General features: G+C 37.3%; 1 long non-coding RNA gene across 1 annotated transcript in view; it reads right to left on the reverse strand.

The window, feature by feature from the left end:
* LOC105374016 (uncharacterized) overlaps positions 1 to 25,991 on the reverse strand; it is a 137,553-nt gene that overhangs the window by 11,036 nt on the left and 100,526 nt on the right. Inside the window, exon 10 of the long non-coding RNA XR_001740824.2 lies at positions 22,959 to 23,066. This is a non-coding gene — a long non-coding RNA (uncharacterized LOC105374016). The remainder of the gene's footprint in view (positions 1 to 22,958; positions 23,067 to 25,991) is intronic.

Genomic DNA, 25,991 nt, shown 5'->3' on the forward strand with positions numbered 1-25,991 from the left:
AAGTGTTCTGGTCACAAAACTGTTTCATTTATTAGAGTATACTATTTTAATAATATTTCAATTCTCAAAGTTTGTTCCTACACCAACTACTGTGCTACAGTACACAATTTATTCTAGTACTTGAGCATAGTATCCATTAAGAGTTAGATGTTTGAAAGGCATACTTTTCAGTAACACTAACCCTTTTCTTCTTATTCTTCTATTTTAATCATTGCTGCACTTGGTTTATAACTGTGACATCTTCACGTCAGTAATTCTTACAGGTATAATGCCAAGTAAAGTTACCCTTTTCAGCTGAAAACATTGCCATAGGGTAAATCTAAATTGGGGTTAAAAAAACAACATAAAAGTAAATCATAACAGACATTTATAGGAAGGAAATAATATTTTTATTGAATGGCCTAAAGCAGCAGTAATGTTCAGATATGGGAAAATGCTATCCTAAGGAAAATAGACAAATAATGGAAGACTCAGTTTGAAGGACCAAATACTTGTTAATTCATAAATTTTCTCAACATCATGAAAATAGTTTTCCATTTATTTTTATATGATACATAATAATTTTGCATATCTATGGGATACAGAGTGATATTTCAATATATGTATACAATGTGGAATGATCAAATCAGTGTAATTAGCATATCCATCACCTGGAACATTTATCATTTCTTTGTGAACATTCAAAATCCTCTTTTAGCATTTTGAATATATACACTAAATTATTGTTAACCATATTTACCCTACAGTGCTAAGAACACTAAAACTTATTCTTCCCTTTTTTATCTATAAAATGAGCTGTAACTTTGTATGTGATAACCAGCCGCTCCCTATCTTTCCCTTCCCTCTACCCTTCCTAGCCACCTTCTAATAACCACAGTTCTATTCTACTTCTATAAGCTCAGTTTATAAAGAGATTTTTATTGAGATAGGCGATAGGCTATTATTTCTTTTTCTTTCTTTCTTTTTTTTTTTTTTTTTGAGGGGGAGTCTCACTCTGTCGCCCAGGCTGGAGTGCAGTGGGGTGAACTTGGCTCACTGCAGCTTCTGCCTCCGGGGTTCAAGCAATTCTCCTGCCTCAGCCTCCCAAGGCACCCATCACCACGCCTGGCTAATTTTTGTATTTTTAGTAGGGATAGCATTTCACCATGTTGACCAGGCTGGTATTGAACTCCTGACCTCAGGTGATCTACCCACCTCAGCCTCCCAAAGGGCTGAGATTACAGGTATGAGCCACTGTGCCCAGCTGATAGGCTATGATTTCTTTATAAACTAAGCCTGATCTATGCAAACAAAAGAAAATAGAGAACTCAGTAATTATGTAATGAAACTGATCAACATAAGCAATTGCTCTAGATTAGATTAGGCTTTATTATTTTTACTCTCCATCTTTTAAAATTAGAATTATCTGTCATTTACTTCAATTAATGATCAGTGTAGATGAAGTTTTTCATCTTAGCCTATGACTATTTCTACCCAGGCCTATTAATAGAAGCTGATCCTTTCTGACCATTCAATTATGCTATCATAATAACAGCACCCTTAATAGTTTTCTCTAGGGAAGATGGGTTTACTTGAGGACCAGAAACTATTAAATAAAATATTCTGTTGCTACTATGCCCTATTTCAGTTATTAGAACTATTAATTTCAGAGTTATGTGACACAGTTAAAATGAACCATTTTGTGAATGGTCTAAAATATTTGGACACAGCCTACAAAATTCTTGGCCAAAAGTGTTTTACATTTAAGCCTGAGTTTGTCTCTACATATTGATTAAAGTTACCTGAAAATTCACCAGTTATTAACTTTATAAGCTTTGGTTCATGAGCTGCAATGATTGGGAGGGTTTGTGAGCTCAGCTTATCAGCAGAAATAACTCAATAACTAGTCACAGGCAATCATGGACACATTCAGTCAGTCTCCAGAGGTCAGCTCACAGGGCCAACTATGTATTTGCCAAAGGGTACCTAAAAGTTTCTTCCCTTTTTTTCTACTCCCTCTTCTCTCTTTAGGGTATTATCTCTGTTTAGCCTTAGCCATTGTGCCCTAGGCCAAGTTCCATTTATTCTTTGATACCAAGCTTCTAAAACCCTGTTTGGTTCAAAATTTCTAAATTGTAGTTGTCTACAAGACAAATAAACCCCTCTCTTTCAATAACAGTTTTTTTGTCTTTTAAAGTACAGCTTTATGCATTATTATGCCAATGTATCCATTCCTCACTAGGGATAGAAATGGGCAGGGTGAAGTAAGTGAAGAGGCCACAGATTTTTTCACTACCACGTGCAGACAAAAAAATCAGCACATCTCCCATGGCTGGTGTAGAGATGACCTAAGAAAGCAACTTGCCATTTTTACGCTCTTCTACTAATTAATCAAGTCAGAAGAGAGAGAGCACTGTGCAATATTCTAAACGATAATATAAATTGAATTATAGTTTTCCTAAGTTACTCTTTACCTATAAGGTATATTTTTAAAGATTGTACTATTAATAGACAACATTTCCCTGTAATTTGGATGTGTACTCATTTTATCACATCAAAACTGAATTTTTAGTTGTGCATGGTGGCTCACACCTATACTCCTAGTTCTTTGGTAGGCTAAAGTGGGATGATCACGTGAGGCCAAGAGTTTGAGATCAGCCTGGGCAACATACCAGGACCCTGTCTTTACAAAAAAACAAAACAAACAAACAAACAAACAAAAACACACAGTGGTCCGTGCCTGTAGTCCTAGCTACTTGGGAAGCTGATGTGGGAGAATCCCTTGAGCCCAGGACTTGTAAGGTGCAGTGAGCTATGATTGTGCTATTGCACTCCAGCCTGGGATACAGAGTTTGGTCCCACCTCTAATATATGTGTGTGTGTGTATATATATATATATATTTATATACACATATCATGTATATATTATACCCTGAATATTCTATATCCAACAATAACTTTTTATTGTTAGTAGTGCCCTACTCTTCTATACTTTAGATATGAAAGAAATACTCTTTTCACTTCTGCTTTTTCAATTTAAATGTGTATAGGAAAGAATATCCTCTTATAAATGCCTCTCCAACAGAATTTTCTACTTGCAAATGGAATTTTTAAAATTTGCTAATGTGATATATGGATAGAGCACTAGGTCTTGACAAATATGGCTCCTTTCCTACTGTTTTGAGACTACTTCAGTAAACTTTGCTGATGGAGGTCGAAAAGTAGTACCGAGAGAAATGATTTTAAAACATTCAGAAGAATACTGAAAGGTTTGACGTTGAGTTTGGGAGGACAGATAATTAGTTGGACTGTAGGTTTCAGTCACTCTTGAAATAATGGTGAAAGATCGCATTATCTTCAAAAGCATTTCACTGACTTTCAAAGTGAAAAATGCCTAAGACAGGAGAAATAAACTATATGCATTGCAACTTTATCCAGTGGAAAAATTTGAGGTATGCTGCAACAAGGCAACTCAGTCCTGATGTGGCAGTTCTAAGATCTTGGTTATTAGCAAATTGTTTATTGATTGAAAATCTGTATTTATCATTAGAGAATCACTGGCTTTTGGAAAATATCCTTGAGGCATTTCATAAAGTGCAGAGAAACAATCCCTAATACCACATGGGAGGCATCAGGGGTTAGAAAGGACCAAGGCATTAAAATGTTTAATATGCATTCCGAAAACTGGGAATAAGATATCTTGCAATTCATCTGAAATTTCCTTGAAAATATTGTGTCTCTTGCTATATTCAGCATTGAAAAATTGTTTAAATATGGTATGGAGAAAGAAAAGCATATGAATGTATAGCTTCCAGATTCCTTGTGACTACACAGCTATTGTCAGTTAAAATAATCAGGAAAACAGTTACTTTACCATTTTTTGAGTTTTTATAAAACTCACCATACTATGGATTTTATGTCTCCTCATTTTATCCTGGAAATAACACTTTTATTCTGAAAGGTACTATTATTATGTCTCTATAACTGACTACAAAACTCAAGTAATTAACTTAAGTAAATTAAGTTACTTAAATAATTAGAATAAGATCACACAGCCAAGAAAGGATAGCCTGGTCCTTTTTCATCCTTAATGTCACCCATGAATTACAACTCTCTATGGTGGTGAACTACAAGATAAACTGGAAAAAAAAATGCACTATTTCTTCTAGAAATATTCTAGATAAAATTGCAAAACTCATAGAGTTGTCTGTGCAGAAGAAAAAAAAATAAAAGCAGGCTTCAGACATATACTAGGCCAACAGGAGTGCAGATCAAACATGTAGGATTTTTATTTTTGTGCATTTATATTTCTGGACTAGAACATCACTTGATCTGTATCTATTGAACATCTATTATATGCCAGATATTCTGCTAAATCCTGGCAATATAAAGATTCCTAACCTCAACGAATTTACTTTGTAAAAAAGGAAATAGAAATAAATATACAAACAAAAAATATAAATTGAGATAAGGACTGTGAAGAAAACAAATGTGTTTTTAATAGAGAATAACACGTAGGAAGAACTAATTTAGATAGTATGACTAATGAAATCCTCTTGTAAGAACTTATTTAGGTGGCCCTAAACAAGAAGAAGAAACCATTCTCATGAAGAAAGCAGTCTAAAAAACTCTTGCAGTAGGGTGCTTGAGGTACTGGAAGAATCTAAAGACCACTGGGGCTGGAATGTGGTGAACAGACAAACTGACTTTAATGATGGTGAGTTGAGGATGTAATTAAGCTTTTCTACTTATACTAGAAGATGTTAAGAGATAAGGCTTAATGCATTGTTAAAGAAGGTGTAATTTCATAAGCCCACATTTCTATGTGGATGAAGATGATCTCTTCAGGCCGGGAATCAGAGCTTAGAAAGGAAGAAAATTATAGCTTCTTTCTCTCTACTCTTGAAAAGTGAAGCTTATTTATCTTTATTAGAGGTAATTGCTTATCGATTGGTAGGTTCCTGCTATGGCTCCATCAAGGTCACAGCTCAGAGACCTGTCTAAGGTACATGAATAGATAATTTGTACTTGGAAAAAGGAGTTCCATTGGCCAGGAGATACATTAATTCTAGAATTTCTGAGAACTTGGAATTCTTTGATTTTTTTCCCCAACCCCAGAATTTAGCTTTAAATTAGCTCTCTTATTCTGTCTCCAATATACACACTTAGAACATTTGTTTCTGGTTTCAAATATATGTATTCAACTAAATGTAAGCTCTAGTACAAATATTTAATTAACCACTGAACCTTATAATTTAAAAAAAAAACTCGCACCAAAAATTAGCTTTCTTAGTTAACACTTCTAAAAATTGTCCCTGACTTGGGATTTTAAAATCCTAAGAGGTATTTGTATCATCCTTTCTTAGTGCCACTGACCAGAGAACATTCACAACTCTTAGAGTCTTCCCAGGTTCTTTGGGGGAAGTTATACGTGTTCTGTAAAAACACTGTACACCATAGGAGAGTTTAAGTAATATTTCTAAACTCAAATAAATATCGTACTATCTGGATGGGTTAGGAGAAAGCTTTTATGTTTGTTTATTTGTTGTTTTTCTTCAAAAGAAGACTAACATTATCAATGCTGTGCTTTTTGGCAGACTGCATTGGTTCTAGGTAGAGGTGGTTTGTGGGGATAAGGAGGAATTAGTTACTAATTTTCTTCCATTCTTTAACAGAACACAAGTATGATATGTGGTTAGTTGGTACAAAAACTGAGGGTGCAAAGGGCCTGGGAAGTCGTGGCCATTGGAAACAGAAATATAAAGTCTATGATATCCTGGAGTAGTAGTCAAGAGAACTAGTTTCTGGTCCTGACTGTGCCATTAACTTGCTCTGCTATACGGAACAAATCACTTAACCTTAACTTTAACCTTAGCATTGGCCTCAGGTTCCTCATCAGATTCTCTTTAGAGCAGCTGCATTACTTCATTCAATAAAGATGGATGGAGTGCCCACAATGTGTTCAGTACTCTGATAAGTTCTAGACAGCCAACACAAAACTAAAAGTGCTTTGGGCAATTACCTCTCAAATATCCAGTTTTTACATATGGAAAACAAGTTGTTAAAAATAACTCCCATTTTACAGGATTTTGAGAGTAACCTATATGCCTGAGATAATCTGTAAACAGTGCATGACATGTAGAATGTGCTTAAGATAGGGTAGTTATTATTATTACTGTTATTAGTGGAGATTGTAGTCTGTGAACTCACAGAGCCTCTGAGGGGACAATTGAAATATTATGATAAGGGCCGTGGGAGGGCAAAAGGGCTTTGGATCTGAAGGCAGCTCATATAATTCCCAGTCTGGCAGTTGCCTGGAAGCAACCTGTGACTTTTAACTCTGAACTTCATGGTCTCACTTTTTTCTTTCTCTTAGGAGTCATGCATAGGGCCGATTCAACAACTCTAAAGAGTTGGTGAAATTTAATCTCCAAACTCATTGTCCATCTTATACTTTCTAAATTTTCCCATTATAATAACCATTGATTGATGTCAAAAAAATTTGCAGACTTCTCTTGGTATTAGTTTTACTTTAGTATTTATTAATTGACTGTGAAAATACATAATGACAGACATTACTACATAGGCATATATTTGCAATCAATTAATGTATTTAAACCCAAGTTTTATCTACATACTTTGAAAAATAGTGTTTTATCAGTTGAGTTTCTTAGAGAAAATGAACCAGTATTTATACCATGTATGGCTTACAGGATTGTGGGGGCTGGAAAGTACAAAATTTGTAGAGCGGGTTGGCAGACTGAAAACTCTTGAGCAGGAGTTGATGTCACAGTTGTGAGACAGAATTTTTTCTTCCTCAGTTAACTGCAATTTTAATCTTAGGGCTTTTCATCTGATTTTATGAAGGCCCACCCACGCTATGGAAGATTATCTGCTTTAGTTAGCTAAAGTCAACTGATTGGAGATGTTAACCATATCTACAAAATACCTTCATAACAACACCTAGATTTCTGTTTGATTAAATTAGGGTGTACTATAGCCTAGCTAAGTCAACACACAAAAGTAACCATCAAAAGTACACATTTCTAAAAAATATCTTATCTTATTCATTCTACAAAGATCATTTGTCATACACACAAGCTGAAAGAACTCTCTGCTCTTCCAAAAGGTATGGAGTATAGTTTTAGATTCCATGGACTTAGATCAAAATGATGATATGTGGTTAGGAAATATTATTAAATCAATGATTCTTTAGGACTTACAACTCTTCTATAATAGGGACACAAGCATATTAGTCAAACAGCAAAACACGCTGTCCTTGCCCTAAATATCATATAGGCTATTAGAGACATCTGCTATATAAACACATGAGCATAGCATTTGATGAGTACTATAATAGAGGATAATAGAGTTATGGAATAATCAATTTTGTTTATGCCGGGGGTCTTGGAAAGTGCAGAAAAGGAGGTGTTTAAATACAGTCATTCAAGATGAGTAGGAGGAAGGTATTCCAAACTGGGAACAACACGCAGTCAAGTGTTCAATTGCTTTTTCCGGGGAGAACTCTGATTTTGCTTATATCAAAGTTACCGTGTATGCCTGGCTCACGTTTTGACACTGCTCAGCAGAACAAGCAGGCTTCTGAGAACTCTGCACTTGTGATTTGTGATTGCTGGTTTGTTGTTGAGCATTCTCCTAAAAACTCAGCTAGCAAGATATGACTGCTGTAACTAGCCAACAAAGGCAGCACAGAGAGGGTTATGAATTATTAGCAAAGCATATTGATTTTTTGAAATGCTGGCTGAGGTTTAAAAGGAAACAGAAAAGTCAAATCTTTGATTGGGAAAGTCTGGCCCTAATATGGGTAGAGGAACATCTTTATAAAAATTTCTAGGTAAGATATATATGATTATAAAAATAAGTTCTTTCATTCTGAAGTCAATTTCTCATCTCCTCTTTCTCTCTCCCTTTCAACTCCTTTGGACAAAGATTTTAGAAAACAGTGTGAATTTTGTAGGCTTTGGGCCAAACAAATTGAAAGCAGCTAAGACATTTTGCTTAACAAAAATGTATGTAATCTGAGAAGTTTCATATGATGTTTTACCATTGTTGAAGTTGCACGGTTTTGCCACTATGTCACTACAAAGTTTGGGAGTGAGGAATCTCTTTTTCCCCCCTAAATCTAGCCTAGCCTTGATACTGACTGAATATTTTGTATTCCATGTTAGTCATTTAAAAAAGGCATCCAAACAAAAGGAAGAAAAATGATTATAGGGATTGAAAAGTCATTGAGGAAAAGTGAAATTCTGATGAGAAAAGCTCTAAGGAGCAACTTGGTTACTATCTTTGAGAAGTTTTAGGACGTTTAGTTGGGGGATGTTTACTAGTTATACTTAATATTCAGAAGTAAATGGTCAAGAGAAAATATTAAATCAATGGCAAGAAAGGGCTCTGATGGACATGGGAGGTACCTCTTGATCATATGGGTGATAAAACATCGAAATTGGCTGCTGAAGAAAACAATGTTAAACATTTAATGTGTTTGGTAACTATTTGTCTTAGTTGAATGAGAAATTTCTCTGCCTAAAGATGGAAGGCTAGAACACATATGCTTTCAAGCTCTCCTGCAACTCACCAGATTGTGTGAGTTGAGCCTTTTATATACAAAAGCAGGTATTTATTGAAAATCTACTGTATTAGTTTTCTTTGCTGCTATAACAAATAACAAACTTAGTCACAAAATAACTCAAATTTATTGTCTTAGAATTCTGTAGGTCAGAAATCCAGGACAGATTTTACCTCTTGACAAGCTGTGTTTCTTTCTGGAGGCTCTAGGAAATTACTTATTTATTTTGTCATTTGGGGTTTTTGGCACAATTCAGTTCCTTGTGGCTGTCAATTGAGGGCTATTTCCACCTTGCAGAAGCCACTCTCATTCCCTGGTTCATGACCCACTTCCTCCACCTTCAAAACCATGAGTGGAGGGTTGAGTCCTTCCCACATCGCATGCCTCTGATGCTCTTTTGCCTCCCTGTTCTACTTTTAAGACCTCATTTGAATAGATTAGGCCCATCCAGATAATGCAGGATAATTTCTCCATTTTAAAGTAATTAAGGTATTAAGTGTAAGGTAATTAAGAAATTAAGGGATTAGGAATCTCAATTCTATCTGCAACCTTAATTCATTTTTTTCATGTAATAGGATCATGTAGCAGTTTCATGTAATGGTTTTTTTCATATTCACAGGGTCTGAGGATTAGGACATGGATATCTTTAGGGGGACATTCTGTTGATTGCAACTTCTCTGGTACTAGTACTGATTTTTATATTGCAGAAAAATCAACTTTTAAGAAGCAATCCCACAATACTATGAGTTTATAGTGGATTAATTCATGCATTCAATAAATTTTATTGAGTACCAACCATCCCAGACACTATTCTAGGGAATGCTGTCCTTGCCCTAAATATCATATAGGCTATTAGAGACATCTGCTATATGAACACATGAGCATAGCATTTGATGAGTACTATAATAGAGGATAATAGAGTTATGGAATAATCAATTTTGTTTATGTCTGGGGTCTTGGAAAGTGCAGAAAAGGAGGTGTTTAAATACAGTCATTTAAGATGAGTAGGAGGAAGGTATTCCAAACTGGGAACAACACGCACAAAAGCATGGGGAAATGTAGTGCATGAAACAGCATATAAAACAACCAGGGGAAATTATTATAGTACTAAATTTATGATAATAACTATAGTTTGGAGAAGGTATATGTGATGCCTGGTGAAATTGAAAATATATAAAGAGATAGATGTATACATTGAATTTGTTGCCAAAAGATAGCTGAGTAGAAATCAGTAAAGGTGAATAGAGATCTATGTGTAGACAGCTGTATAACTGAAGTTATAAAAGCGGTATATGTCCTATTACATTTGTGTAGTACTCTGAGTAGAGGAGAGTTTCTATAATAAAAAGTATAGGTAATAATTTGGGATGAAAGGAATGAGTCTACATTATGAAAATCATAATAGTTAAGAATAGGAATTTATGTAAAACATAACACTTGGGGAGATCCTGAATTTTCTAAGTACAGGATGACATAATTACAAGCTGTTTGAATGTTTATCATAAATATCACTACATCAAAGGACAAGAGTTTCTCTCCCTCTTTCTTTTCCATTGGCCACTGCCAACCCTGTCACTACAACAGTTATACCTTAAAGATATTCTTTGGAGAAGTTAAGGTTAATTTGAGGATATGGGGGAGATCAGGAAGTGATGAGAGGAGTCATCTAAGGTGTGAGGTGAAGTTGAGGTGGAGAGGAAGAACAATAGAGAATTTTGATGGGTGTCTTGCTTACATAGGCCATCTCATTTAATCCTCCAAAGAAGCCTGAAAGGAAGGCTGTTCTATTGTGTTGCCATGAAGTTGGTGAGAAATTTAGTCCTAGGTGGTTTAGTAAGTAGAACTGAAAATCAAATTTAGGGTCTGTCTGCCTCCCAAGGAATGTAAAATCTCAAGGAATATAAAAAAAGAGATGTGCCTTCAACAGTCTTGTCTTTCAATGATAAGGGATTTTAGTGAATCAGATACAAATTGAGGAAAGAATTGTCTTTAATTTGAAATTCCAGAGTATTTGGAAACATTTATCACTTATAGGGCAATATGCAAAGATTTTTGATGTTCTTGTCTTTCTGTGTTGTTTCTTCTTATCCTACAAGTTTCATTTTTTGAGAAGATTTTCAATGTTACTAGCTAAGTTGGAAGGCTTTGTAACTGTTACTATCTTTCTCATTACATTTATAAGACTGTGACATAATTGTTCTTGCCTTTTTCTGTCAGTGTCTTTAGAATAAAGAATGTCTTTTTAATTTCTGCATCCCTGCTGCCTGATTTTACTGTCTGTACATAGTAGGTAATCAATATTTGTTCAACAATTCAATGGATGATAAAAAACTAAATGCATCAATAAAAAGTATAAATGACTTTGTGATGTGGTTTGGATTTGTGTCCACACCCAAATCTCATGTTGAATTGTAATCCCCAATGTGGAGGAGGGGCCTGGTAGGAGGTTATTTGATCATGGGGGTAGATTTCCCCTTTGCTGTTCTTGTGATAGTGAGTTCTCACAACATCTGGTTGTTTGAATGTGTGTAGTACCTCCCCCTTTTCCTTCTTCCTCCTGCTTTAGCCATGAAAGACATGCCTGCATCCCCTTCACCTTTCACCATGATTGTGTGAGGGCTTCCCAGGCATGCCTGCTGTATAGCCAGTAGAATCATGAGCCAATTAAACCTCTTTTCTTTATATATTACCTAGTCTCAGGTAGTTCTTTATAGCAATGCAAGAATGAACTAATACAGAAAGTTGGTACCAGGATTGGGGTATTGTTATAAAGATACCTGAAAATGTGGAACCAACTTTGGAACTGGGTAATGGGCAGAGGTTGGAAGAGTGTGATGGTATCAGAAGAAGACAGAAAGATGAAGGAAAGTTTGAAACTTCCTAGAGAATTGTTGAATTGTTGTGACCAAAATGCTGATAGTAATATGGACAATGAAGTGCAGACTGAGAATGTCTCAGATAGAGATGAGGAACTTATTGGGAACTGGAGCAGAGGTCACTTTTGTTATGTGTTAGCAAAGAATTTGGAGGCATAACAAAGAATGTTATGCCATTGCCCTAGAGATCTTTGGAACTCTGAACTTGAGAGAGATGATTTAAAGTATCTGGTAGAAGAAATTTCTAAGCAGTAAAGTGTTCAAGATATGGCCTGGTTGCTTCTAACAGCATATTCCTTTGAGTGAGCAAAGAAATAATCTGCAACTGGAACTTATATTTAAAAGGGAAGCTGAGCATAAAGGTTTAGAAAATTTGTAGCCTGGCCACGTGGTAGAAAAGAAAAACCCATTTTCAGGGGAGAAATTCAAGGCCACTGCAGAAATGTGCAAAAGTAAAGAGGAGCCAAGTGCTAATAGCCAAGACAATGTGGAAAATACCTCAAAGACATTTCAGAGACTTTTGTGGCAGCCTCTCCCATTGCAGGCCTGGAGATCTAGGAGGGAATAATGGTTTTCTGGGCCATACCCAGGACTTTGCTGCCTTGCACAAAGGCGGGACACTGCTCCCAGCATCCCAGCCACTCCATCTCCAGCCATGGCTAAAAAAGCCCCAGATACATCTCAGCTTATAGCTTCAGAGAATGCAAGCTATAAGTCTTGCTGGCTTCCACATGGTGTTAAGCCTGTGATGCACAGAGGGCAAGAGTTGAGGCTTGGGAGCCTTCACCTAGATTTCAGAGGATGTATGGAAACACTTGGATGTCCAGGCAGAAGTCTGTTGCAAGGGCAGAAACCTTATGAAAAACCTCTACTAGGGCAATGTGAGAAGAAATGTGGGATTAGATCTCCCACAAAGAGTCCCCACTGGGGCACTGCCAAGTGGATCTGTGAGAAGAGGCCACTGTCCTCCAGATCCCAGAATAGTAGATCCACTGACAGCTTGCATCATGCACCTGGAAAAGCTTCAGGCACTGAATGCCAGCCAGTGAAAGCAGCTGAGGGGATTGTACCCGGCAGAGTCACAGGGGCAGAGCTGCCCAAGGCCTTAGGAGCCCACCCCTTGCATCAGTGTGGCCTGGACATGAGTCATGGAGTCAAAGGAGATTATTTTAAGCTTTAAGACGTAATGACTGCCTTGAAGGGTTTCAGACTTGCATAGGGCCTATACTCCCTTTTTTGGCTGATTTCTACCTTTTAAAATGAGTTTATTTACCCACTGCCTGTACCCCCAGTGTATCTTGGAAGTAACTAACTTGTTTTTGATTTTACAGACTTATAGACAGAAGGGAATTGCCTTGTTTTATACGTGACTTTGGACTGTGGACTTTTGAGTTAATGCTGAAATGAGTTAAGACTTGGGGGACTGTTGAAAAGGGACGACTGTATTTTGCAATGTGAGAAGGAAGTGAGATTTGGGAGGGACCAGGGGCAGAATGATATGGTTTGGATTTGTGTTTCTGCCCAAATCTCATGTCCACTTGTAATCCCCAATGTTGGAGGAGGGGTGTGATGGGAGGAGATTGGATCATGGGGGTGGATTTCCTTCTTACTGTTCTCATGATAGTGAGTCCTCATGAGATCTGGTTGTTTAAAATTGTGTAGCACCTCCTCTTTGCCTTTCCCTCCTGCTTCAGCCATGTAGACATGCCTGCTTCCCCTTCGCCTTCTGCCATGAATGTAAGTTTCCTGAGGCCACCCTAGCTATGCTTCCTGTGCAGCCTGTGGAACTGTGAGCCAATTAAACCTCTTTCCTTATAAATTATTCAGCTTCAGATTGGTTTTTATGGCAATGTGAGAGCAGACTAATACATTTTGGGTTTAATTTAATGATGATTTATCAACTACTAATTATTTTCTGGATGATGACCTCCATAGTGTTTTCTGTCCTCTAGGAGCTGATAATCTAATGATCCACAGATACAGATAAATCTAAATGAAAGACAAGCTGTGACAAATCTCTTAAGTATTTAAACAAAGGACTATGGGGGTGAAAATGGGGAGGTGATAGTATCGACAGAGATTCAATACCTATAAGGTTGACTGGTTGTCCAGAACTGATCATTTAAGAGAGGCATCTGCTACAAATATTTCTTCAAAAGTTTATAAAATATCTTAAGGTCAATATTTTAATAATCCTAAAATAGTGGCCCCTATACATTACATATATTACAACATGACTATGTACCCCATAAATATGTACAATTATGTGTCAATTTTAAACATTTTTTAAATGAAAAATAACTAAATAAATTTTTGAAAAGAGAAAAATAGTCAATATTTTGTCAATAGTCAAATGAAATATTGATAACCTCCAACATAATAAAAAGCAATCACCTCCACTCCATCACCTAATTGTCTTCTTCCCTACTGCAGCTGTTTTGCTTTCAACTAGTTCTTCACACTTATGCAGTACTGATTTTCTGAAAGCAAATCTCTTACTATTATCCTTCTCAAACCCTACAGACCAAGCCTAGATGTTGTAGCCTGCTATTGAGGCCACCATGATGTGACCTACCTTTTGAGTTTTGTTTCCTTTCTGCTCCCCACTTACCTAGGCGGTGCACCTCTGTTCTCTGTGTAGTGCCTCCTTTATTGCCTGTGTTTCTTTGCTCATGTTGTTCTCTCTGCCTGGAATGTGGTTGCCCATTTTCTCTTGTCCAAATTCGACCATCCTCAGGCCCCAACTGGAAGGAATATCTGTCCCTTTCACTTATTTTACTTTCTTTTTTTTTTTTTTTACGGAGTCTCGCTCTGTCACCCAGGCCGGAGTGCAGTGGCGTGATCTCAGCTCACTGCAAGCTCCACCTCCTGGGTTCACGCCATTCTCCTGCCTCAGCCTCCCAAGTAGCTGGGACTACAGGCACCTGCCACCACTCCCGGCTAATTTTTTGTATTTTCAGTGGAGACGGGGTTTCACCATGTTAGCCAGGATGGTCTTGATGTCCTGACCTTGTGATCCGCCCACCTCAGCCTCCCAAAGAGCTGGGATTACAGGTGTGAGCCACTGCGCCCGGCCCACTTATTTTACTTTCTATTCATTTACCTCCATGCTTCATCTTCCTTACTACATTGAAAATCCTTGAAGGCAATAATATACATCTGATTTATTTTTGGGCATTCATTCAGTGCTCAAAAAAGCATCTTTTAAGTAGAAATGTTAGATAGATATTTATTTGATAAATAATTTTGAATATATAATGAATGAATGTAATCTCTTTCACCTAATCAGTTTTCAAATATTTCAATAATAATAATGTAAGTGAATAAAACGCTGTACACTTATAAATCAAATGCTCATTTGTGGCATGCAGTTAACCTAGACTTGCATTCCTTCCAAGACAAATGCTATTATAATGTTAGCTTTGGATGAAAATCAAGGTTCAAACTGAAAAAGGCACTATGCTAAGTACTGAAGATGGGTTTGTAGATATAGCTTATGTAAATAAGACATGCACATGAAAAATTACCTAATAATAAGGAGAACATATGCTAAGCCATACTGACCCAGTATACTCAATGAGTATTTCTGGAAGTGAGTGTTCGGGGAATTACCATGAAGTGGTTACAGCTTACAGACACAGACTTTTGCTTGAGACAAACCTGGTTTGAACACTGACTCTGTGCAGCCATGTGAACTTGGACAAACTTGTTGATTTCTCTGTGACTTAATTTCCTGATCTGGGAATTAAAATAGTACTTCATGGAGTGATTGTGATTAAATAAGATTTTATATATTTATATATAAAATAAAAAGTATATAAAATCTTATTTAATATTATTTAAGTTAATATATAATATATAATTTTTATATATTATGTACTATATATTTTATATATACTGTAATATATTACATATTAAATTAATATATATTAAATAAGATTTTATATATTTATTATACAAATATTTTAATATTTTAAAATATTTATATATTATGTTAAATATTAATAGCACTATTTTATATCTATTATATATAAAGTATATATTTTATACATATTAAAATATATATTTATACACATACATGCATACACACACACACATACACACACACACATTTGTAATCCATTTGTCAATCAATCATCTCTCCACTCACCTACTTACCTATAAAGCACAGTGTTTGGCACATAATAAAGTGCTATAATATAAAAATTTTACCACTACTTCTTTGTATGAAGTTTAGGGTAGGCTTCCTGGAAAATACGTGACTTAGGTTGAACTATGAAGGATAAGGGATGGGCAATGCATGGAAAAGAGTCTTAGAAAGAATGAATTTAAAAAGTAAAAATTCAGCAAGTAACTGTCTTCTTTTTTTCTGATACATCTCCAAAAAGTAAAGTGCTTTTAGTTCAGGAAGGCTAAGAAAATGTAAGAGAATGCCTGAAATTATTCTTCTAATATGACTGGTAATGTAAATGTGGCTTTAGCTGCTGCACAGAACTTTTAACAAGAGCAATAGCCATCAGAAAATGGATATCAATAGAATTAGTATATCTTGTTTTAGAAAAAATCCATAATGTATAAAGAGCACTCAGATCTTGTAGATTGACCTGATCTGAAATAAAGTGCCGAGGTTGAGTCACAGTGTCACAGGCCAGGTGACTTAGCTAACCCATTACTTCTGTCTCTTCACTCAAGACTTCAGTGAGTCCTAAGTCTCATTTCAGGACAGGAGCCCGTGGGGGTACAAGAACTTTGCCCTTGTACCCTTGAACTCTCTGGGCAAATGAATACTCCCATGTATTAGTCCATTTTCATGCTGCTGATAAAGACACAGCAGAGACTGGGCAATTTACAAAAGAAAGAAGTTTAATGGACTCACAGTTCCACATGGCTGGGGAGGCCTCACAATCATGGTGAAAGGTGAAAGGCACGTCTTACATGGCTGCAGAATTGAGAAGAGAACTTGTGTAGGGAAACTCCCCTTTATAAAACCATCAGATCTCATGAGACTTAATCAGTATCACAAGAATAGCATGGGAAAGAGCCACCCCTATGATTCAATCATCTCCCACTGGGTCCCTCCCACAACTCGTGGGAATTGTGAGAGTTACGATTCAAGATGAGATTTGGGTGGGGTCACAGCCAAACCATATCATCCCTTTTGCTTTGAGAGGTGGTTCTGACAATGGAGGAGTATCCTGCTACCATATTTTTTAGGAGGCAAATGCAAATGGTAGCATTCCATTCTTGGAATGCAAAGTGAGGCTTCTACAGCCTAGAGCTATGGAGTTTGAGATGTAGTGAGCTATAAGATAACAAACACAGACTCTGGACCAATCATAGGTGACTCAAATGCCTCATTACCCAAATGTCAGTAATTGAGGCAGAGGTCACGGGCTGGAGTTCTTTAAGGGCACCATCTCTGCATCAGACTGGCTGGATTTACATTTCTATATAGCATGACCAATCATTCAGATGTATTCATGATGGAGAGATTTTCTGAAACACAGACCTTCAAAGATAAAATTGGGACAGTAGTAGGCAAACTGGTATATTTGATAACCCTAACCCACTAGTTGTGTGACCTTGGGCAAGTTACCCAATTTTTTATGCCTTAGTTTCCCCTTTTATAAAATGGGAATAATAATATTACCCACTTCTTATCTTTGTTGCATAATGTTTTTAACAGAGCCCATTATACAGTAAAGTGCTAGTAGTTACCTTCGAGGTGTATGTATTAGTTTCCTATGACTGCTATAAAAGACTACTACAAACATGGCGGCTTAAAACAATAGAAATGTGTTTTCTCAAAGCTCTGGAGGCCAAAAGTCCTAAATCAGTTTCACTGGGCCAAAAATCAGGGTGTTGCCAAGGGTGCACTCCTTTGAGAGCTGTAAGGGAGAATATGTTCCTTGCCTCTTCCAGCTTCTGGTGGCTGATGACTTTCCTTGGCTTGTGCCACATCACTTCTATGTCTGCCTCTACTTCACATCTCCTTCTCTTTTTCTGTATATGGGGTAATCTCCCTCTACCTCTTTTTTATAAGGACACTTGTGATTGCTTTTAGGACACAGCTGTATAATTCAAGATAATCTCCCCATCTTGGGATTCTTAGCTTAATTACATTTGCAAAGAAGCCTTTCCCTGATAAGATAAAATTTACAGGCTCCTTGGATTAGAACTTGACAGATTTGTGAGTCGTTATGCAGCCTACAATGGTATATTACTACCCTTCCTTAACTTTCTGATCTTTATCCTTTTTATTTATAAAATAGGCACAAATATGTGCCTAGTGGTATTGTTGTGATAATCAAATGAAATAAGAGCTAGTAGTAGGAGCACATAGTAGATTGAGCTTTCTTATTGCTTTCTCTTTCTCTAATACAGCAATATAGATGCTTACATACCCTGTGCTGAGGAGTGAAACTGGGAAGCTATGCATTAGTAACTTCAAGTTAAGATTTCTCTATGATAGTGTTTGTTTATACTATTTGCTGAGACCATGATGATATTGGCAATGGTTTCCAAAACAATTTTTTTTAATAACCTTTGGTCACTTCACCCAATGCTAAAGAATTATTCATCACTCCACTCCATATATCTACATATTTCTTCCTTTTGAATTTCTTTCATTTTCTTAAAAGTCTATTTAGAGAAGGTGGAAAACCAAATTATTTGCTTCCCATTGAGTACTCAGTGACCTTGATCCCAAGAAGTGTCACAAAGGAGTGATGAGTAGAGTAGAGTAGCTGTGAAACCAGACAAAGTATACAGTGTCTACTGGGTGATTTAATTTTTTAATTACTGTTTTTTTGTTGGGGGGACAGAGTATTGCTCTGTTGCCCAGGCTGGAGTGCAGTGGCACAACCTGGGCTCACTGCAGCCTCCACCTCCCAAGTTCAAGCTATTTTCATGCCTCAGCCTCCCGAGTAGCTGGGATTACGAGCATGTACCACCACACCTGGCTAATTTTTTGTATTTTTAGTAGAGACATGGTTTGACCATGTTTGCCAGGCTGGTCTCGAAATCCTGATCCACCTGCCTTGGCCTCCCAAAGTCCTGGGATTACAGGTGTGAGCCACTGTGCCTGGCCTGGGTGATTTAATTTTCTAAGAGCCCTCCTTTGCTGCTTTGGGAAACTATAAGGGATAATTTTTTGTTGTCTCCCTAGCATCATGTTTCTCTCTATCCTCACTAGTGGTAGCATATTGGTTTCCTAGAGCTGTCATAAAAAAGCACCATGAACTGAATGGCTTAAAACAATAGGAATTTATTTCTCACATTTATGGAGACTAGACATCTGTAAATAAGGTGTCAGCAGGGCCATGCTTCCCCTGCAACCTGTAGGAGAGAATCCTTGCTTGCCTCTTCCTAGCTTCTGGTATTTGCCCACAATCCTTGGCATTTGCTAGATCCTTGTAGATTCTTCAGTTCATATTTCTGCTTCTATCCTCACATGACCATCTTCTCTATGTGTCTGTGTTTATGTCCAAATTACCCTGTACTTATCAGGACAGAAGTCCCATAGGTCCACCCTAATGACCTTATCTAGTTTGATGACATATTCAAAGAACCTATTTCCAAATAAGGTCACATTCACAGGTTTTGGGGCTTAGAGCATCAACATGTCTTTTTTGGGAGACACAATTCAACCCATAACAAGTGGCTTGATTTTCTTCTGAGAAACCATCATACTTCCAGTCTCAGGTGTGAGTTTTGAATAGGATTGAGTTGACCCCATTCTCAATTCCAAGGAAGGACTATGACTTATTTAATCAGAGAATTCTGTCCTTATTTGCATATATTTCAGTCAAAACATTAAGACACTAGGAGAAATTTGTAAGTGTTCTTGGGGGAAAAGATTCTTTTCTTTCTTTCTTTCTTTCTTTCTTTCTTTCTTTCTTTCTTTCTTTCTTTCTTTCCTTCCTTCCTTCTCTTTCTTTCTTTCTTTTTCTCTCTCTCTTTCTTCCTTCCTTCCTTCCTTCCTTCCTTCCTTCCTTCCTTCCTTCCTTCCTTCCTTCCCTCCTTCCCTCCTTCCTTCCTTCTCTCTTTCTCTCTTCCTCTCTTTCTTCATTTATTTGTTTGGAGACCAACTATGGTAGAAGATTTTAAAATTGGGGTTGCTAAAGCCATCTGACTACCATTACAGGCAGTAGAATACGAATAAAGTCAACATACAGAAGAAAGAATACCACAATATACAGAAAACCACACCCTGATGACATTGTGCCCTGTTAGCACCTGAAACCATCTCAATTACTAGACTTTTTTGTTACCTGAGAATAAAAGAAAAAAAGACTTTTTTTCATTTAAGCCAGAATTTCTGTTTTTCCAACAGAACTATCCTAACTTTATTATGATGGAGTTGCAGAGATGGTCTTCACAATAATATACCTAAGGAACTATTATTATCTCAATTTTATAAATGAGGAAGCTGAGGCACAAAAAAGTTAATAAGTAGCAGAATGAGTATTCAGACTTCACAGCTTGACTCAAGGGCCCATTCTTTACCTACTATGCAATACTACCTTCTTCTTTGCCATCAGGGCTTGTGCAGAAGCAGCTTTGAGAAAGTTGTGTTAGTCCATTCTCATACTGTTATGAAGAACTACCTGAGACTGGGCAATTTATAAAGAAAAGAGGTTTAATTGACTCACCATTCCACAGGCTGTACAGGAAGCATGGCTGAGAGACCTCAGGAAACTTACAATCATGACAGAAGGCAAAGTGGAAGCAAGCATGTCTTATCATGGTGGAGCAAAAGAGGGAGAAATAGTGAAGGGGGAAGTGCCACACATTTTTATACAACCAGATCTCGTGAGAACTCACTCACTATTATGAGAACAGCAAGGGGGAAATCCACCCCCATGATCTAATCACCTCCCACCAGGTGTCTCCCCTGCCATGTGGAGATTACAATTCGACATGAGATTTGGGTGGGGAGATAGAGCCAAACCATACCAAAGTCTGGATATTTTATATGCATACCACAGGAGAGTCAATAACACTACTCAGGATCCCAACCACTCCTACCCCTCTTCCCTCACCCTTATTCATTTTCTGTTGCTGTTGTTGACCTAGAGAAAAAAAAACTGAGGTAAACTTAATAAAAATAGAGAGTTTATTTGGGCCAAGTTTGAGAACTGCAACCTGGGGGCATAGAGCATATATTCAAGTTGTCCTTACTGGAGGTTTTTTTTTTTTTTTTTTTTGACGGAGTCTCACTCTGTCACCCAGGCTGGAGTGCAGTGGCCTGAACTCGGCTCACTGCAAGCTCTGTCTCCCGGGTTCATGCCATTTTCCTGGCTCAGCCTCCTGAGTAGCTGGGACTACAGGTGCCCACCACCACGCCCGGCTAATTTTTTGTATTTTTTAGTAGAGATGGGGTTTCACTGTGTTAGCTAGGATGGTCTCGATTTCCTGACCTCGTGATCTGCCCACGTCAGCCTCCCAAAGTATTGGGATTACAGGCATGAGCCACCGCACTTGGCAGTTACTGGTAGGTTTTTAAAGGAAAAGAAGAGGCAGTTTCTAAGTTGTTTACCAAGGATTTATATTAAAATAATGTAAGCTATTAAATGGCTATATATTGTTATTTGCACTACAAATTCCAGGACTATGAAAATAATGGGTGAGGCAGCTAGTAAGGAACAAAATGACTTTTTAAAAATTGTCCCTGGGGATGGGTGGGGGTATCAGCTAGACTCCAGGGTAAGATTGTCTTCCCTCTCTGTCCCCTTCTCATCTCCCTTTCCTGCTGAGAGCTACTTTCATCAGCAATAAAATCCCCTGCATTTACCATCTCCAATTTGTTTATGTGACCTCATTCCTCCTGAATGCCAGACAAGAACTCAGGAGCAGGTGCAAAAAGCTGTTGCACTGATCCTCCACTGAGCTGTTAACACTTAAGTCATCCATAGATGGCAAAGCTAAAACAGCGCTGCCTGTAACACTCTTTCTGGGGCTTCAGGGATCAAGGGCACCTCCCTAGATGCTGCTGTGGTGGTGCAGGGAGTTTTGCTCTTGTTGGCACCCAAAACCAGCAGCCCTGGCTCCTGCACCTGCTCATCTGTGCTCCTCCTCCTGCAAAGGGTGGAATATAGTGGGACCGAGCAAGTGGTATCCATCTCTGCTGCAGTGAAGCAGCTGGCTAGTTCTAGCACCCATGCATTCCAGTTCCTACCCACGAAGAGGTCAGTGAAAATTTTCCTGCTTCAATCATTGCCATATAATAAAACTAATCAAGGGAGAGACTACCTCATCATGTTTACAGGTCTTGCTCACACTCAAGGGAAAAGAATTACACATGGTGTGTATACAATTGGTGGGAATTGGGGAACCACCTTAAAATTCAGGCCTCCAATCTCTCACTTCCACCCATAGTGGAAGTGGGCTTACATGGGGGAAGTAAACCATGGGAAGCACTGTGTGTGCTTTTTCCCACCTTATACTTGGCAATAGCTTCCCAGAAATAACAGAATGCAAATCTGCCATTCTGCATTGACATGTGGGGGAAAAAAACCCATGGAAACCCACATAGAGCATTATGAGATTAAAATACCTGGGAGATTATTCAGTATTTCTAAATTGAAAGAGACTGGAAGATCACTCCTGCCTAAAAGCATCACCTCCATGGATGTGGTTAAATTGGGCAGAAGCTACCTTGAATAATGGCTATTAAAGTTAGTTGCAGTTCATTAGGACCATTTTTTGAGTAACTCTATTAATGTTTTGCATGTCCCTTGCTCACGGGTTAGTCCCACTAAATCCAGTCTGCTGTGGTAGCAAATCTTTTGGTAAAAACCTATTTGAACTATGAGTACTTAGACTCACCCTAAGTTTATTAGCCTGAATTTAAAGAGGATTCTTAATTCTAAATCTGTTTAAAATGGGTGTTAGTTGGAAAAGGTTTGTTTTTCATTAAAAGAGCATTTTCATGAAAGACTAACCTTAAATTACCTTTTTTATTTAGCTAGAGTTGGCCTAGAAAAATAGGAGGCAAATAAGCACATTGTGTTATTAAGCAATTTTTATCTTTTGTTTATACTAAGCAGGCACAGCAAGGCTATCATTATTGCAAAGAAAATCACATTTTTCTCTTGCTAACTTTCAAGCATTGAAAGAGAAACTAATGTAAGCTTTTTAACTATGATATTTAAATGTGTATTTCTGAAGAAAATTGATTGGTCATTTAAGGCTTTTTTTTTTTTCCATTTTTAACTATGGTCATATTTTTTCTTTGTTTTGATTTTATTTCTACTATTCTATGTGGGAAGAAACCACTAACAGTTGGAGAGGTTTGATCTTACAAAGAAACTATAAAATTAGTATTGATTATTTTTAGTGGACTTAATCCATTTAAATGTAATTTTAGATACCCAGTTATCTTATATGCATATTATGCTGACATTATTTCTTGATGCTGTCATTGCCATAGATTTAAAGGCTCTCTGCCTACTTCCCTCATTCTGCCTTCTTCATCTCCTGTTCTACCCCTACCAAGGCTCTGGTTCACTCACCAATTCCAGTGGAGTGCAGTAGTTTGTGTTGATGATCCAGTTGTTTCTAGCTTCTCTGAGCCTCCCTGGCTTTTATCAGCATGCAAGTGATTCTTGCCCTAGGAATCACTGAGAGAAGAGAGAGTGTGATGATGGAAATAGTATTTTGATTTTTTGCCCTATCCACCTTTTCAGCACACTTGTAGATGAGTCTCTAAAACCCAAGCCTTTCTGTAGCAGATGCCCAGAATTCTGTTCACTTCTTGTGAACCTATTTTTACTCCACTCATCCCTATCAATATCACTCCTTCTGAATTTCAAAGTTTAAACTTGTTTCTAACCATTTTTGACTCGGTGATTGCTTTTGATTAGCTCTCTTTAAAGAGTGACTTGTTTCACTCAGGCCCATATCAAGCTGGCTGCCTCAGTAGAAACGCATATTCTAATTTGCTTTTATGGAACCAACTCCCTGCAACAGGCAAGGTCAGTCCTAATCTCTGAAAGAAGGAATAACAGAGACTGGAAAACAGGAGAGGTGGTTTGGGGGAATACCACTTCCAAATTAGTTGACGCAACTCAAATGTTAACCTGTCAAGGCCCTGATGGAACACAACATGGTGTGTTAGAAGCTAAAGTCATTCTTTGGGCATGCCTAAAAAAAGAGCTATAACACCCTAAGAGAGAAAGTATCTTTTCTCTTCTCAGTGAGAACTGCACTGGTGCTTGCAGAATTTTTATGATGAGAGACTGTAAGAAAATTTGATTCTAATAGTCATGGTGTGTTTGCTGAGTTTTGAGCTTTAGCTATATTCCTCTACTAGCTTAGGTCTAGGCTGACCCCAGTCACTGTATGACTTAGGTTAGTTTCCCTGGAAACAGTTTCAGAGACTGGGACTTGCAATCAGGAGATTTACTGAGGGCTTTTCTTAGGTGATACATTTGCAAGATTGGGCAGAGGGAGAAGCTGACCCATAGTGAAGAAACTAATGATGCATCAGCTAATCTTACGGTGAGCTCTGGAGTTGATGTGGCCCTTCAGAGTTGTGCCAAATTGAGGCAAGGGGCAAGGACCTTGTACCTCCAATTAATCCAGTAATTTACTTATTTGGGTAGGAGTATCCATTACAGTACTTTGTCACATAACGAAACAGTGCACAGATAACTGGAATAGCAATAGTTGACTTATAATCAAGCAACAACTCGACATGTAAAAAGTATGTATCATTAACTATCATTAAGTGCATATGCCATTAAGATTTATTGCCAGTGTCTTAGAAGAAGACCGAATTCACTCCTAATGGTTTCAATAAAAAGATTTCTATTAAAGTTCCATTTCAAAGGTATGGACAAGTCAGAGGAATAAATAGGGATGATGAGGACCCAGAAACTCACAAAAGTAAGATTCAGTTAACTTCTCTGAGTTAGAAAGAATAAGGAATGTAAAGACAATTGTTGAAGCCCAATGAGAGCTGGTCTACCATCAGCAGGAGCAGCAGTCCTGGAGATGTACAGCTACTAACAGAGAGGTGATGCCTAGGCCCTTGATCACTTGCTGGTCCCTTCTCACAGGCCTACTTAACTGGAAGCCGACTAACAAATAAGTCTGAGAGATGCAATGCATAGGGTCAGTCTCTTGGGGCAAAGAGTAGGAAAAGAATAGAAAACAATGGATAAGAACTGGCAAATGGAGAATAATCAGCATAGTTCCCAAACAAAACATAGGTTTCTCTTTTATCCATAAAAAGCAAGCCATTTCCTATAACATATTTTGACAAATAATCCTGAAGTGAAATGCTTAATAAAGAGATTCCACCAGCTGAGATTCCTAGGTCTCAAGAGAGAAAAACACCATGTACTCATTTTATTTTTGTTCCTTTTCTTGAATAAGCCCTTGGTAATTAAATGTGGAAAGAAAAAAATATTTCTAATTGCTAATCATATGTTGTAAGCACCAGTTCATTTTACTTGTTGGGCAGTCGCCATATAAAGAATGCTGTGTTTGAGAACACGGCAGTTAGAGATACTAGAGGAGCCACCAGGAGAATAACTAAAAAATAAAAACTATTATTGAATGTTCAATGTGGTGTGTGTGGCTTTTGCAGTACAACACCCATTAAATGATAGTCATGTGGTTAAACCTTATACATATTTTTTCTAAATTTACCCCCTAAGGGGCAAATTACCAGCACAGTTCTGAATAACATTATTGTGGCTATTAGTCTTTGTGTGCATAATTCCCCATCCGCGATGTTTACAATTTTCTCCTTAGTGTTTCTTTGAAAAGTGGCACAATTACAATATTTTCATTATGCTATGGCTTACATAGATAATTAAACAAATAAATATGATCTTACACAATTTATTTTAAATGTTCCTAATCTTTACAAAACTCCCTCATCCTTGGAAGAATGAAGCCATCCAGGATAATTGCAATTTTTACTTTCTGTAAAAAAGGCATCACCTAGAAGATTAACAGAGCTCATCAACTTAAGACATAGCTGCTTATTCTCTTCCAGGGGCATTATCAGAAATTAAACTATTGCAAAGTAATAATAACTTCACAGCTTTGTCATAGGAGTGGTAAGAACAATATATTTTCACATTGGAGAAATTAAAAATGTATTTCTCACAACTTAGTGACTTTATCATTGAGGTAATAATTCAGTTAATTTTAAGTGTTTAGTACATTACTAGGATGAGCTAAAATCTCAACACTTTAGGTGTTTTAACATACACTATTTTTTGAGGTGCTACATCTAGTAAAAGCTGGAACTTAGCTAATATAAGCAAACTTCCAAAAACATCTTGATTTTATTTTCACAGTAATAGAATTTTAGAGCAATCTTGAAGAATATCTTTATTTTACCAATAAAGAAATTGAATCTCAGAAATATTAAAGGGCTTTCCAAGGTCTCACAGCTGGTTTATAGGCAGAGGCAGAATTATAACAGGCAGTCTTCTAACTACCACCACTGTATCATTTCTGCTATTCAGCTTGCTTCTTCCAAAGGTCTTTATACTTTCTCTTTCATTAGTCATTTTTGAGCCTCTACT

This window comes from Homo sapiens, chromosome 3 (assembly GCF_000001405.40).
Source record: "Homo sapiens chromosome 3, GRCh38.p14 Primary Assembly".
NCBI lineage: Eukaryota > Metazoa > Chordata > Mammalia > Primates > Hominidae > Homo > Homo sapiens.